The 12,861-nt window shown below is 33.5% G+C and overlaps 1 pseudogene, besides 1 other annotated feature; it reads right to left on the reverse strand.

Moving 5' to 3' along the window:
• Positions 751 to 810, reverse strand: RNU7-82P (RNA, U7 small nuclear 82 pseudogene; annotated as a pseudogene).
• Positions 12,449 to 12,618: an enhancer, noted in NCBI's record as "experimental_66489 CRE fragment used in MPRA reporter constructs". NCBI's record gives its function as "activates a minimal promoter by MPRAs in K562 erythroleukemia cells, with activity observed for both the introgressed and non-introgressed 3:163199777 variant alleles {active_cell/tissue: K562}" and the evidence as "EXISTENCE:reporter gene assay evidence [ECO:0000049][PMID:34662402]".

The raw sequence follows: 12,861 nt of genomic DNA on the forward strand, positions 1-12,861 counted from the left end.
ATATAATTTCCTCATAAATATTTGCTTAATTAAATTGACCAGAAGGTAAACATAGTGTCTGGAAGACATTTAAAAAATATTCATGCAACACATTAAAATAAATAGAAATTTTAGGAAACTTGGGACTAGTTATGCTATTTGTCATAATGAACTTACTTTAAAATTTATCAAAAGTTTTTTTTCTCATTAAATCTGGAAATTAAGCAGGCACACAATGATGTAAGGAATAATGAACATTATCAAAATATGGATTCAACTCTTCTTTACACAGCAAAACATTCAATTTAAAGATAAATCTCACAGAGACTTATACTGAAAAAAAAATGTGCTTTGCAACAGAAAAAAATTAAAAAAAGAAAGCTAGTCCAAATATGGGCTAGTCTGACGCTGATGCTATTGTGGAGCATTTTATATTAGGATTCAATGTGGCTAGTCATGCCAACCTTAATACATGCAAAGCTGTTATAAATCAGGAAGCCATCTAAACTCTAGGAAAGAAAAAAGTACACCTCAGCTATAGTTAAAATGTTCTTAGGATTCTGTTTGCATGTTTACCTCTCTAAATTTGAAAATGCTAGATAGTCTTTATTGGACCCATATATGAGCTGAACCACTCATCTGTGCATATAGCTCACAGCCTATATTTCTATATTCCAGAAATGGTTCCTGGTAGACATTTCTTCGGGGGTCTATAACGTTTGACCCTCAAAGAACATTTGGTTGTGTCTACCTTTTATTTTTTCTCCATGCGGGATTTTCTGGTGAAAACTGGAAAACCTACTAGACAAATTGTAAAAGAGCTATAACACTTGGGCTGTGTCTCTTTGATCAGTCTGCTTCTAGGGCACTTATTTCAAGACTTTGAAATAGAGGAATCTGGTGTATAGAATTGCTTGTGACTTTTGCACATTGGTTTTGTATCCTGAGACTTCGCTGAAGTTCCTTATCAGCTTACAAGATTTTGGGCTGAGACAATGGGGTTTTCTAAATATACAATCATGTCATCTGCAAACAGAGACAATTTGACTCCCTCTCTTCCTACTTGAATACACTTCATTTCTTTTTCTTGCCTGATTTCCCTGGCCAGAACTTCCAATACTGTGTTGAATAGGAGTGGTGAGAGAGGACATCCTTGTCTTGGGCTGCTTTTCAAAGGGAATGCTTCCAGCTTTTGCCCATTAAGTATAATATTGGCTATAAGTTTGTCATAAATAGCTCTTATTATTTTGAGATATGTTCCATCAATACCTAGTTTATTGAGAATTTTTAACATGAAGCAATGCTGAATTTTATCAAAGGTCTTTTTTGCATCTATTGAGATAATCATGATTTTTTTCTTTTTTTTTTTTTTGGAACACAACCATAACTTTTTGTTTATTGCTTACATATTTCTTTTTTTATTATACTTTAAGTTTTAGGGTACATGTGCACATTGTGCAGGTTAGTTACATATGTATACATGTGCCATGCTGGCGCGCTGCACCAACTCGTCATCTAGCATTAGGTATATCTCCCAATGCTATCCCTCCCCCCTCCCCCCACCCCACAACAGTCCCCAGAGTGTGATATTCCCCTTCCTGTGTCCATGTGATCTCATTGTTCAATTCCCACCTATGAGTGAGAATATGCGGTGTTTGGTTTTTTGTTCTTGCGATAGTTTACTGAGAATGATGATTTCCAATTTCATCCATGTCCCTAAAAAGGACACGAACTCATCATTTTTTATGGCTGCCTAGTATTCCATGGTGTATATGTGCCACATTTTCTTAATCCAGTCTATCATTGTTGGACATTTGGGTTGGTTCCAAGTCTTTGCTATTGTGAATAGTCCCACAATAAACATACGTGTGCATGTGTCTTTCCAGCAGCATGATTTATAGTCCTTTGGGTATATACCCAGTAATGGGATGGCTGGGTCAAATGGTATTTCTAGTTCTAGATCCCTGTGGAATCGCCACACTGACTTCCACAATGGTTGAACTAGTTTACAGTCCCACCAACAGTGTAAAAGTGTTCCTATTTCTCCACATCCTCTCCAGCACCTGTTGTTTCCTGACTTTTTAATGATTGCCATTCTAACTGGTGTGAGATGGTATCTCATTGTGGTTTTGATTTGCATTTCTCTGATGGCCAGTGATAATGAGCATTTTTTCATGTGTTTTTTGGCTGCATAAATGTCTTCTTTTGAGAAGTGTCTGTTCATGTCCTTCACCCACTTTTTGATGGGGTTGTTTGTTTTCTTCTTGTAAATTTGTTGGAGTTCATTGTAGATTCTGGATATTAGCCCTTTGTCAGATGAGTAGGTTGCGAAAGTTTTCTCCCATTCTGTAGGTTGCCTGTTCACTCTGATGGTAGTTTCTTTTGCTGTGCAGAAGCTCTTTAGTTTAATTAGATCCCATTTGTCAATTTTGTCTTTTGTTGCCATTGCTTTTGGTGTTTTAGACATGAAGTCCTTGCCCATGCCTATGTACTGAATGGTAATGCCTAGGTTTTCATGGTTTTAGGTCTAACATTTAAGTCTTTAATCCATCTTGAATTGATTTTTGTATAAGGTGTAAGGAAGGGATCCAGTTTCAGCTTTCTACATATGGCTAGCCAGTTTTCCCAGCACCAATGCCTTTCTTCACAGAATTGGAAAAAACTACTTTAAAGTTCATATGGAACCAAAAAAGAGCCCTCATCGCCAAGTCAATCCTAAGCCAAAAGAACAAAGCTGGAGGCATCACACTACCTGACTTCAAACTATGCTACAAGGCTACAGTAACCAAAACAGCATGGTACTGGTACCAAAACAGAGATATAGATCAATGGAACAGAACAGAGCCCTCAGAAATAACGCCGCATATCTACAACTATCTGATCTTTGACAAACCTGAGAAAAACAAGCAATGGGGAAAGGATTCCCTACTTAATCATGTGACTTTTTTCATTGCTTTTATTTATGTGATGGATTACGTTTATTGATTTGTATATGTTGAATATGCATCCTAAGGATGAAGCCAACTTGATCATGTTGGGTAAGCTTTTTTGATGTGCTGCTGGGTTCAGTTGGCCAGTATTTTATTGAGGATTTTTCCATCTATGTTCTTCAGGGATATTGGCCTGAATTTTTTTTTTTATATCTGCCAGGTTTTGCTATCAGGATGATACTGGCCTCATAAAATGAGTTAGTGAGGAGTGCCTCTTTTTCTTTGTTTGGAAGAGTTCCAGAAGGAATGGTGCCAGCTCCTCTTTGTACCTCTACTAGAATTTGGCTGTAAGTCCATCTGGTCCTGGGCTTTTTTTGGTTGGTAAGCTGTTACTTACTGCCTGAATTTCAGAACTTGTTATCGTTCTCTTCAGGGATTTGACTTCTTCCTGGTTTAGTCTTGGGAGGGATTATGTGTCCATGAATTTATCCATTTCTTCTAGATTTCCTAGTTCATTTGCATAGAGGTGTTTGGAGTATTCTCTGATGTTAGTTTGTATTTCTGTGGAATCAGTGGTGAAATCATGTCCTTTTTAGTGACATGGATGAAGCTGGAGGCCATGATTCCCAGCAAACAAACACAGAAACAGAAAATCAAACACTGCATGTTCTCACTCATAAGTAAGAGTTGAACAGTGAGAACACATGGACACAGAGAGGTGAACATCACTCACAAGGTCCTGTGGGAGGGTGGGAGGCAAGGGGAGGGAGAGCATTAGGACAAATACCTAATGCATGTGGGGCTGAAAACCTAGATGACGGGTTGATAGGTGTCGCAAACCACAATGGGACATGTATACCTATGTAACAAACCTGTACGTTCTGCACACGTATCTCAGAACTTAAAGTAAATTTAAAATAAATAAATGAATAGAGGGATCTGACCTCTAATCTTTTCCTCCTTGGCTTGCTGAGATTGCAGGAATGCTATGGCTTGTCATTCAGAGGCTTTTTGCTTGATTGTTTAGACCCTGAACTTGTGCAGCTTAAGAGTTGTATATGTGTGTGAGGTGGGATAGTCTGGTTGTTAGGCTGAGTTTTCCATGTCTTTCCTCTCATCAAGATCTTGCCCTTCATGCTACACTTTTGTATTTCAGCCGCAAAAGAACACTTGTATGTCCACTGGTTTCACTGTACCTAGCAGAGTCCCTGTGTCTAGGAAATGTTCAGATTCTAAGCCTTAAATGACTTAAGTCCAGATCCACAAATACACTTGTGGAAAAAATGTTACTTCAGAATGTCATTTCTGCTGTCTTCCATAATCCCCTCACCAGAAAGATGGCCCCTCCTGTCTTGGAGACGTCAATATTTCTCTGATGTTTTTACATAGATGTTCTTAATGCAGCTTTTCTAGTTTTTTTTTTTTTCTTCTGGGGCACACAATCTACTTCATTCTGTTTTACAGTCGATATCCCAACATATTTTTTTCTAAAAAAATATAGATTAATATACAGAAAATTTGATAACAGATGCAAACATCTCAGTGGTTTTATAATGTTTTCTACCAGAAAGTGGCACATAACCAATGTCTGTTGTTGCCTTTGACTGCAGAGTGAGAGTGGTAATCTGTTCCTGTTTGCCTAGGACATGTGAGGTTCTCAGGATGCTGGACTTTCAGTGGTACAGCAAAAAATGTTCTTGGAATATTAAGATGAGTTGATCCACCTAAAATGAAAATCTACTAATGCATTCATTTTTAACGTGAGAAACACACAAGAACTCCAAATATAATAGTTCTTATTGTTTCTACTTTACACCAATGTCATGTGCCGGAGCAACAAAATGATATTCCAAAATTCTTATAACTGTTATTAAAACCTTACATTCAAACTCATAAAAGATTCAATCTCACTACTTGCTTCTTTTCTTGGAGAACATTACAAATACTATTTTGAAATAAATCTTTATGTGCTTTCTAAATTTTGTTTTGCTGTCTGATTCTATTAATTTCATAATCATGTATGATCTTCTGCAGCATATGGAAAGACCCTGAATTTTCATCCCAGATCCTCTGATAATTAGTTACATGACTTGATCAATTCTTAAAAACTCTGTTTTTAATCAGTAATGCATGAGTTATATTTGTTTCTTATATATTAAATGAGTTAATATCTGTAAAATACTTAAAACAATGGCAGTTGTATTAATGCTATATAAATATTAAATAAATGAAAACAAATGCATCTACTATTTTAAATTTTGACAACATATTTTCCTTCATAAGCTGCAGGCATAGTTATTTCTCCTATTTGAATTCAAATTGTTTGTTTTTTATAAGAAATTTCATGTAGCCATACTCTGTAACAAGTTTCGGTTGTTACAATGTGTCATGTGTTTGTATTAAACTAGTTTTGCCCAGGTTATTCAAAGAATCACACAGGGATCATTCAAAATTCCACTTGAATGTGTATGTATTTATAGGCTCCTTGAGGGCACCATCATTCATGATCATGAGTTTTACTAGTACATTTATGCTGACATCCTCTAAGTCTACTTTTCAGTATCTGCTGACCCAGTGCTGACTCTCCCTTTGCACCATTGTCTTTATGACATTTCAGTGTGGAATAGATGTCACCTGCAGTAACTCTCCTAATATGAGCATCCAGATTTGCTGCTTGCAGGCATTTTCTAGTACACTAGTCTGATCTTTTCCACGATGCAGGTTTGTTACAGCAATATGAAATTCTGGCTTGCTCTCTTTCTACTTATCTATAGAAATATTGCTAAAGTAAGTATATTTTTCATTTATTGATGTAACATTTACAGTCAAGTTTTAAGATGAATAGTTCAGTGTTCATTGCAGATTAAAATTTACATGCTTGCAGAATAATCTTATAATTAAAAAATTCTTAAAAATTATATTTTCAATATTATGAAGGCAAATTTTTAAAAAAGCAAGCATACTTTAATTATACTAAGGAAGATACTCAACATGTAATCACCAACTATTACTGTTTGTTTACTAAGTAATTATTTAAAAAATCAAATACATAAATAGTAAATAAAATTAATGACAGTTGTTCATATATTTTCTATGTAATATAATTGTTAAACTCACACAAATTAGTTTTCTCTAAAAAATTTCAAATGTGCTATTCTACCAAGAAAATTCATTCAACTCATATATTTTCTGACTTAATATAGTAAAAGCTGACATAGGCCATTTATACATGCCATTTTATTCTGAGATTCAATGCATGTTTATAAGTTATTCTTCTATCAATATGCTTCATTAATTTCAACAACCAATAAATGGAAAATTGAAAATTATTTTGAATATAACTATTATCAAGGGTCTGAAATATATGAAAGAAAAAACATTGCTGTCAATTATTAATCTGTTCATAAAACATATGAACAACAAAAAAATAAACTTTGTTGTCTTGGTCTTTTAAAATCACAGTACTGTAAAGGTATCTTCAAAAAAATCATCTTTTGCTACGATTTTCATGTGCTGGTATTAAATTAACAAAAATAAATATCTTAGGGAAATTAATATTTTATTTGAAAAATAAATATCACCAGCCTCTCATAAATATTTGCAATTATTAAAATCTAGACTTAGATGTCAAACTGAAAATTTGAACACAAAAGCTGGAAGTCTGTATTTATAAGTTACCAATATTTTTACAAATTTAATAATATATTTAATTGAAAGAATACTTACCTACTTAGAAATGGGTGACTGCATGGATGCATAAATGTAAATACAATATTCAAAATACATTGTTTGTAAATAGAATGAAATAACTTCAATGTCCTTAAGTCAGGAAAAAGTATTAATATATATGTTATGCCTTCCACTTTGTTTCATTCCTTCATTAGTGTTGCCTTACTATGTTTCTGCATAAACTGATGTCTTCGGTTAATAAGCTGTACTAAGATTCTTTAAATTTAACAGGAGAAATACGTCATGTCCACAGGTCATATTTTTACCAGCAGATGGCTCCCCTGGTGTTTTCCCCTACTAAGGATTCTTACAGGTTGAAATGCCAAATCAAACAATACCAAATGTAAATATGTATTCTCTACTTCATGCCAAGATTAATATACATTTTCACTTCCATCTAAGATACTTTTACAAGCTTCTTGAAATGCATTGAAAAGCTAACACAATTACAAGCACATTTCAAGTATTAATAAAAACATACTTTACAATTTTCTGTTTTTTTCACCAATGGAAGAAGACAGACTGCAGTTTCCATGCCTGTATCTACAGAGAACTTCAGAAAACATTTTTAAAGTACTAAGTCACAAAAATTAAAACCTGAACAGAAACGCACTATTGATTTATTAAAATTTATTATTTTAAAAGACATTCTATTTAAAATACAAACATGCAAACATAAATTTTCAATAGTATTCTATGTGTTATTAATGTAGTTCAATTTTAATAGCCTTTGATCTATGCCTTTCCAGGAACTAAATGGAGTAATGGTAGATTGCTTGGTTCCAATATAGTGTTAGCAAAAAGAGTCAAGAGGGAAAAAAAAAGGAAAGTCCTACCCCTCCGAAGATAAAAAGCTAATCAGCTATAAAAGAGACCGTCAATAAAATATTTTATTTGATCTTGGTTGAGATGCGGTGCTTTTTAAGAACTAAGTGTATTTTCAAGTTGTCCATTCCTCAAAGATATGACAATTGCTTCAGACTTAGCCATGCATAATCTCATAAATTCCATTTCATTGTGACATGTAGTAAACCCATTAGTTTATTTATACCATATATTTTTACAGTTTTAAAAATAAATGTACTTACACTCTCTTTAGTCACATAATAATCATTAATATTAGAAATTGAAAAAATAGATTTCATATAATATAGCAAATTTCAGGGCATTTTTAATTCTTACACAGTAAAAAAAGTTACATACTTTGAACAGACTGTCTTAAAATATTTTCTTAAAATCATTAGACAAGTTTAGATCTTTGTTTAAATCATGTATTTTTCATTATCTTTCAAAATGAAAGTATGATTGCTATTCCAAATAAATTCAAATATGCATTTATAAGAGGAATTATAGATTTTTCACTGTAAATTTTATTTTATTTTCTGTTGTTAGTAATTAAATTTTTTCTTTTATAAAAAATAGCATTGTGAAGATACTTTACTAGATATGTTAAGATAAGATTTTTTTTTTTTTTTGGCTTCCAAGTGTTGTATTTCACTAAATGATTATTTTCTTAAATGGTAGTTTTTTTTTTGACAGTCAAAATTCTTCTCTGCTAAAAATAATTGTGGATTGAATAAAAATAGTGGACATGAAATGTAATTTATTTAAAAAACATTGATTTAATTAACAAAATTTAAAATATAAGTTACATTCTAAAAGGTGAAAGTCAATTAAGAATATTCATAATTGTGCTTATAAATATGCATAGAGAGCTAAGAGGCAGCTAATTTATAATGCTAAGACCTGAGTTATCAAAAACAGCACACACAGTGTCACTTACATTTATTTCATAAATCCAGAAGAGATGTTCAATTTCTTTTAAAAATTAATTATTTCATGCATATTTTATCTAAGCAAATGCAGAGCTCTGTTTTCTTGTTTTTAAATTTATGCTTAGACTGCACAGTATTATATATACTTATTCTGAAATTATAGTTACTACTTGTTTCCAATATTTTTTTCAACAATTCTCTGAACTAGAAACTTAAGGAAGAAATGCTATATTTATCTGTATCTCTGTATCTAGCTATATCTATAGCTATCTATATATCATCTATAACTCCTTATTTTATGTATTTTCACTTATTTATCTTTTATTGGTTTCTAATTTCTATTTTATTTTGGTTTGTTTTTTGAGATTGATGCACAATCATTAATTTTCAACATTATATTTACTATGTGAATCAAATACTGTGTATTTCCATTTTAGTACTTCTGCAGCTGTAATTTCCAGGATTTGATATGTTTCATAATTCTTTTCCTAAAATACGTACGATGTATTTGGTGATGTTTTTAGAGTTTTGAAATATTTTTATTACTGATTTTCTATTGAATTACACTGTTCTAGGAAAATATTCTGAAATGAAAAAGCATAGATTAGGAATGCTGCAGCTAGAGCACAGGGGGCAATAAAAGCTCTACTTCCGAAGGAAGGAAAGAAGCACTTGTGAGGGCCACACTCGTGATACATAGGCCCACTGAAGGACTAAGAAGTAATCAGACGACTATAGAAACACTCCTGTCCTCCCACACCTAACCAATAAACCAAGTCTCCAGTATAATAATGGATTATAACTCAGACTTTTTGTTTGTTTGTTTGTTTTAGACGGAGTTTTGCTCTTGTAGCCCAGGCTGGAGTCCAATGGTGCGATCTTGGCTCACTGCAACCGCCGCCTCCCAGGTTCAAGCGATTCTTCCGTCTCAGCCTTCCGAGTAGCTGGGATTACAGGTGCACGTCACCACGCCCAGCACATTTTTGTATATTTTTAGTAGAGACAGGATTTCACCATTGTTGGCCAGGCTAGTCTAGAACTCCTTTAGAGCTCTTCTCCTTAAGGGAGAAGATTTATTATTCTCGAGGATAATAAATCGAGGAGGAAGATTTACTATCCTTGAAGGGGTCTGTTTTGGAAGCTGCCATGCCCTCAGCCCCTAAATAAAAATATAAAACCTAAATATAAAAGGTGCCATGCCCTCAGCCCCTAAATATAAATATAAGGATCCAATTTTTTGGATCCACTATAAGGATCCAAAGGTCAGTTCTAGAACTCGTGAGGTCTCCTTTTTTTGGATCCAATATAAGGATCCAATTATTTTCTTCTGCATGTAAATACCCAATTTTTAAATGCCATTTATTTAAGAGATTGCCCATTTCTCATTGTGTGTTCTTGAAATTTCTGTCAAAAATCAATTGACTGTAAATGGGCAGGTTTATGGGCTTTCTATCCTGTTCCATAAGTCAACGTGTCTGTTTTTATGCTAACGCCATGTTGTTTTGATGCAATTACTTTATACTTTGAAGTCAAGTAGAGTGATGCTGCCAATTTTATTCTTTTTGCTAAGGATTATTTTGGCTACTTGGCATCTTTTGAGGTTCAATGTGAATTAAAAGTTTGTGTTCTCCATTTCTGTGAAAAATGATACTGGGATTTTTATAGAGATTACAATGAATCTGTAAATCACTTTGGGTAGTATGAACATTTTCACAGTATTAATTCTGGAAATTAATGAACACTAAATAGCTTTCCATTTATTTGGATTTTTAACTCAAGCAAGGAAACAACCTAATTATTTTCAACTCAAGCAAGGAAACAACCCAATTAAAAATGGGCAAAGGACAGATTTTTTTTTTTTTTTTTTTTTTTTTGAGACGGAGTCTCGCTCTGCTCAGGCTGGAGTGCAATGGTGTGATCTCGGCTCACTGCAACATCCCCTCCGGGGATCAAGGGATTCTTCTGCCTCAGCCTCCTGAGTAGCTGGGATTACAGGCGCCCGCCACCATGCCCAGCTAATTTTTGTACTTTCAGTAGAGACAGGGTTTCACCATGTTGGTCAGGCTGATCTCAAACTCCTGACCTCATGATCTGCCTACCTTGGCCTCTCAACATGCTGGGATTAAAGGTGTGAGCCACCATGCCCGGCTCAGACATTTCTTAAAAGAAGACATACAGACATACAGACGGCCAATATGTACAGGAAAAAATGCTTACCATCACTACTTATTAGGGAAATGCAAATTAAAACCAAAATGAAATATCACTTCCCACCCATTAGAATGGATTTTATCGAAAAGATGAAAGATGAGTGTTGGCAATGATGCAGAGAAGGGAATTCTTGCATATTGTTGGTGAGAATATAAATTAGCACAGCCATTATGAAAAATGGTATGGAGATTCCTGAAAAAAACTAAAAATAGAACTAATACATGATCCAGCCATCCCATTTCTGGGTATATATCCAAAGGAATTGAAATTAATATGTTGAAGGGATATCTGCACTCTCTTGTTCATTGCAGTATTATTTACAATAGTCAAGATATGGAATTAACTTAAATGTCTATCAATGGATGAAAGGATAAGCTGTCTCTTTCTCTCACTCTCTTTCTCTCTCTCTCTCTCACACACACACACAAAAACAAACACACAGACACACTGTGAAATGCTACTCAGCCTTAAAAAAAGAAGAAAATCCTTTCATTTGTGACAACATGGATGAGTCTGTAGGACATTATGCCAAGTGAAATAAGACTGGCACAGAAAAATAAATGCTGTATAATCTCACTTATATATGAAATCTAAAAAGTAGAGAGCACAGTGATGTTTAACAGAGGCTGTAGGAGTGAGGAGGAAGGCAATGGGAAGTTCTTGATCAAAGGGGACATGACAAACAGGCTTTGAGATATATTTCACAGCAGAGTGACTACAGTAAAAAACAATGTATTGCATATTTCAAAATAACTGAGTAATTTCAAATCTTTCACCATAAAAGTGATAGGTGAGATGATGGCTATGTTAATTAACCTGATATAATAATTTCCCATAGTATACATATATCATAACTTCACATTGAACACCATAAATGTATAAAATTATGATTTGTCTATTAAAAATAATATTAATAAAACTTAATATATTTAATATATTAAAGACCATGATGAAAATAATAAACCACATGTAAGAACAGAAGGACAATGCAATTATACACATAGAAATGCTAGAAATAAAAATATACTGTAATAAACATAAAGAATACCTTTGAAGATCTAATCCGTAGACTGGACAGATATGAGGAAAAATCTGTAAACTTCATTATAGGTCAACAGAATTTTCCTAAACTGGAAATACAGAAAGAAAAATATTTTTAAAAAAATTATCAAAAAAAGGCAAAATAAAATATTTAAGAATTGTGAGTTAATATTTATTAAAATTTCATTTCCTTTTATACTAGGATCCACCATTTCTATGGAAAATCTTGTTTTGTTTTCAGTCTTTTTGTTACATAGAAGGCAATCTGTCACAATTCTTCACCTGATTTATATTTTACTTACCCTTCTTTGGTGTATAATACTATGGATTTTAACACATATCATCACTACCACAGTGAGTCAATGAAACAGTTCTTTCTGTTCAAAACAAACACACACTTTGCTATCACTTCACCTTTATTTTTTTTCTAACAATGTTTTCATCCTTTGTTTAATTTTTTTTTGTTACTGTTGTTTCATTAAACTCCATGAATGTAATGGCTTTCAGCATGTATGAAAAAACCTCTTCCAATATTTATTGTAACATTTTCACTGAATATTTTTACTCTCCTCTCATTCTGAGACTCTGAAAGTATGTATATTTGAACACTCCATAGGGCATAAATGTCTCTCATGCTTTATTCTGTATTGTTCCTGCCTAGTTTTCTTTGTGCTTTGATATGGTTTGGCTGTGTCCCCGCCTAAATCTCATCTTGAATTCCCCCATGTTGTGGGAGGGACCCTGAGAGAGGTAATTGAATCATGAGAGCAGGTCTTTCCCTTGCTGTTCTCATGACAGTGAATAAGCCTCATGAGACCTGATGGTTTTATAAGGGGGAATTTCCCTGCACAAGCTCTCTCTTTGCCTGCCACCATCTACAGCTGTGACTTGCTCCTCCTTGTTTTCTGCCATGATTATGAGCCCTCCCCAGCCATGTGGAATAGTAAGTCCATTAAACCTCTTTCTTTTGTAAATTGCCCATTCTCAGGTATGCTTTTATTAGGAGCATGAAAATGAACTAATATATGCTTCAATTTGAATTTTTAATAGCATATTTTATAGATCACTAATTCTCTTTTTGGTTTGTCAATTTTGCTGCTAATTATCAGTTATTGAATTGTACATTTAATTTTTTTAATTCTTGAATATATATTTTATGCCTCCCATTTGTTTTTTTTTTCTGGCACTTTATTCTG

The sequence above is a fragment of the Homo sapiens genome, chromosome 3 (assembly GCF_000001405.40).
Source record: "Homo sapiens chromosome 3, GRCh38.p14 Primary Assembly".
Classification (NCBI taxonomy): Eukaryota; Metazoa; Chordata; class Mammalia; order Primates; family Hominidae; genus Homo; species Homo sapiens.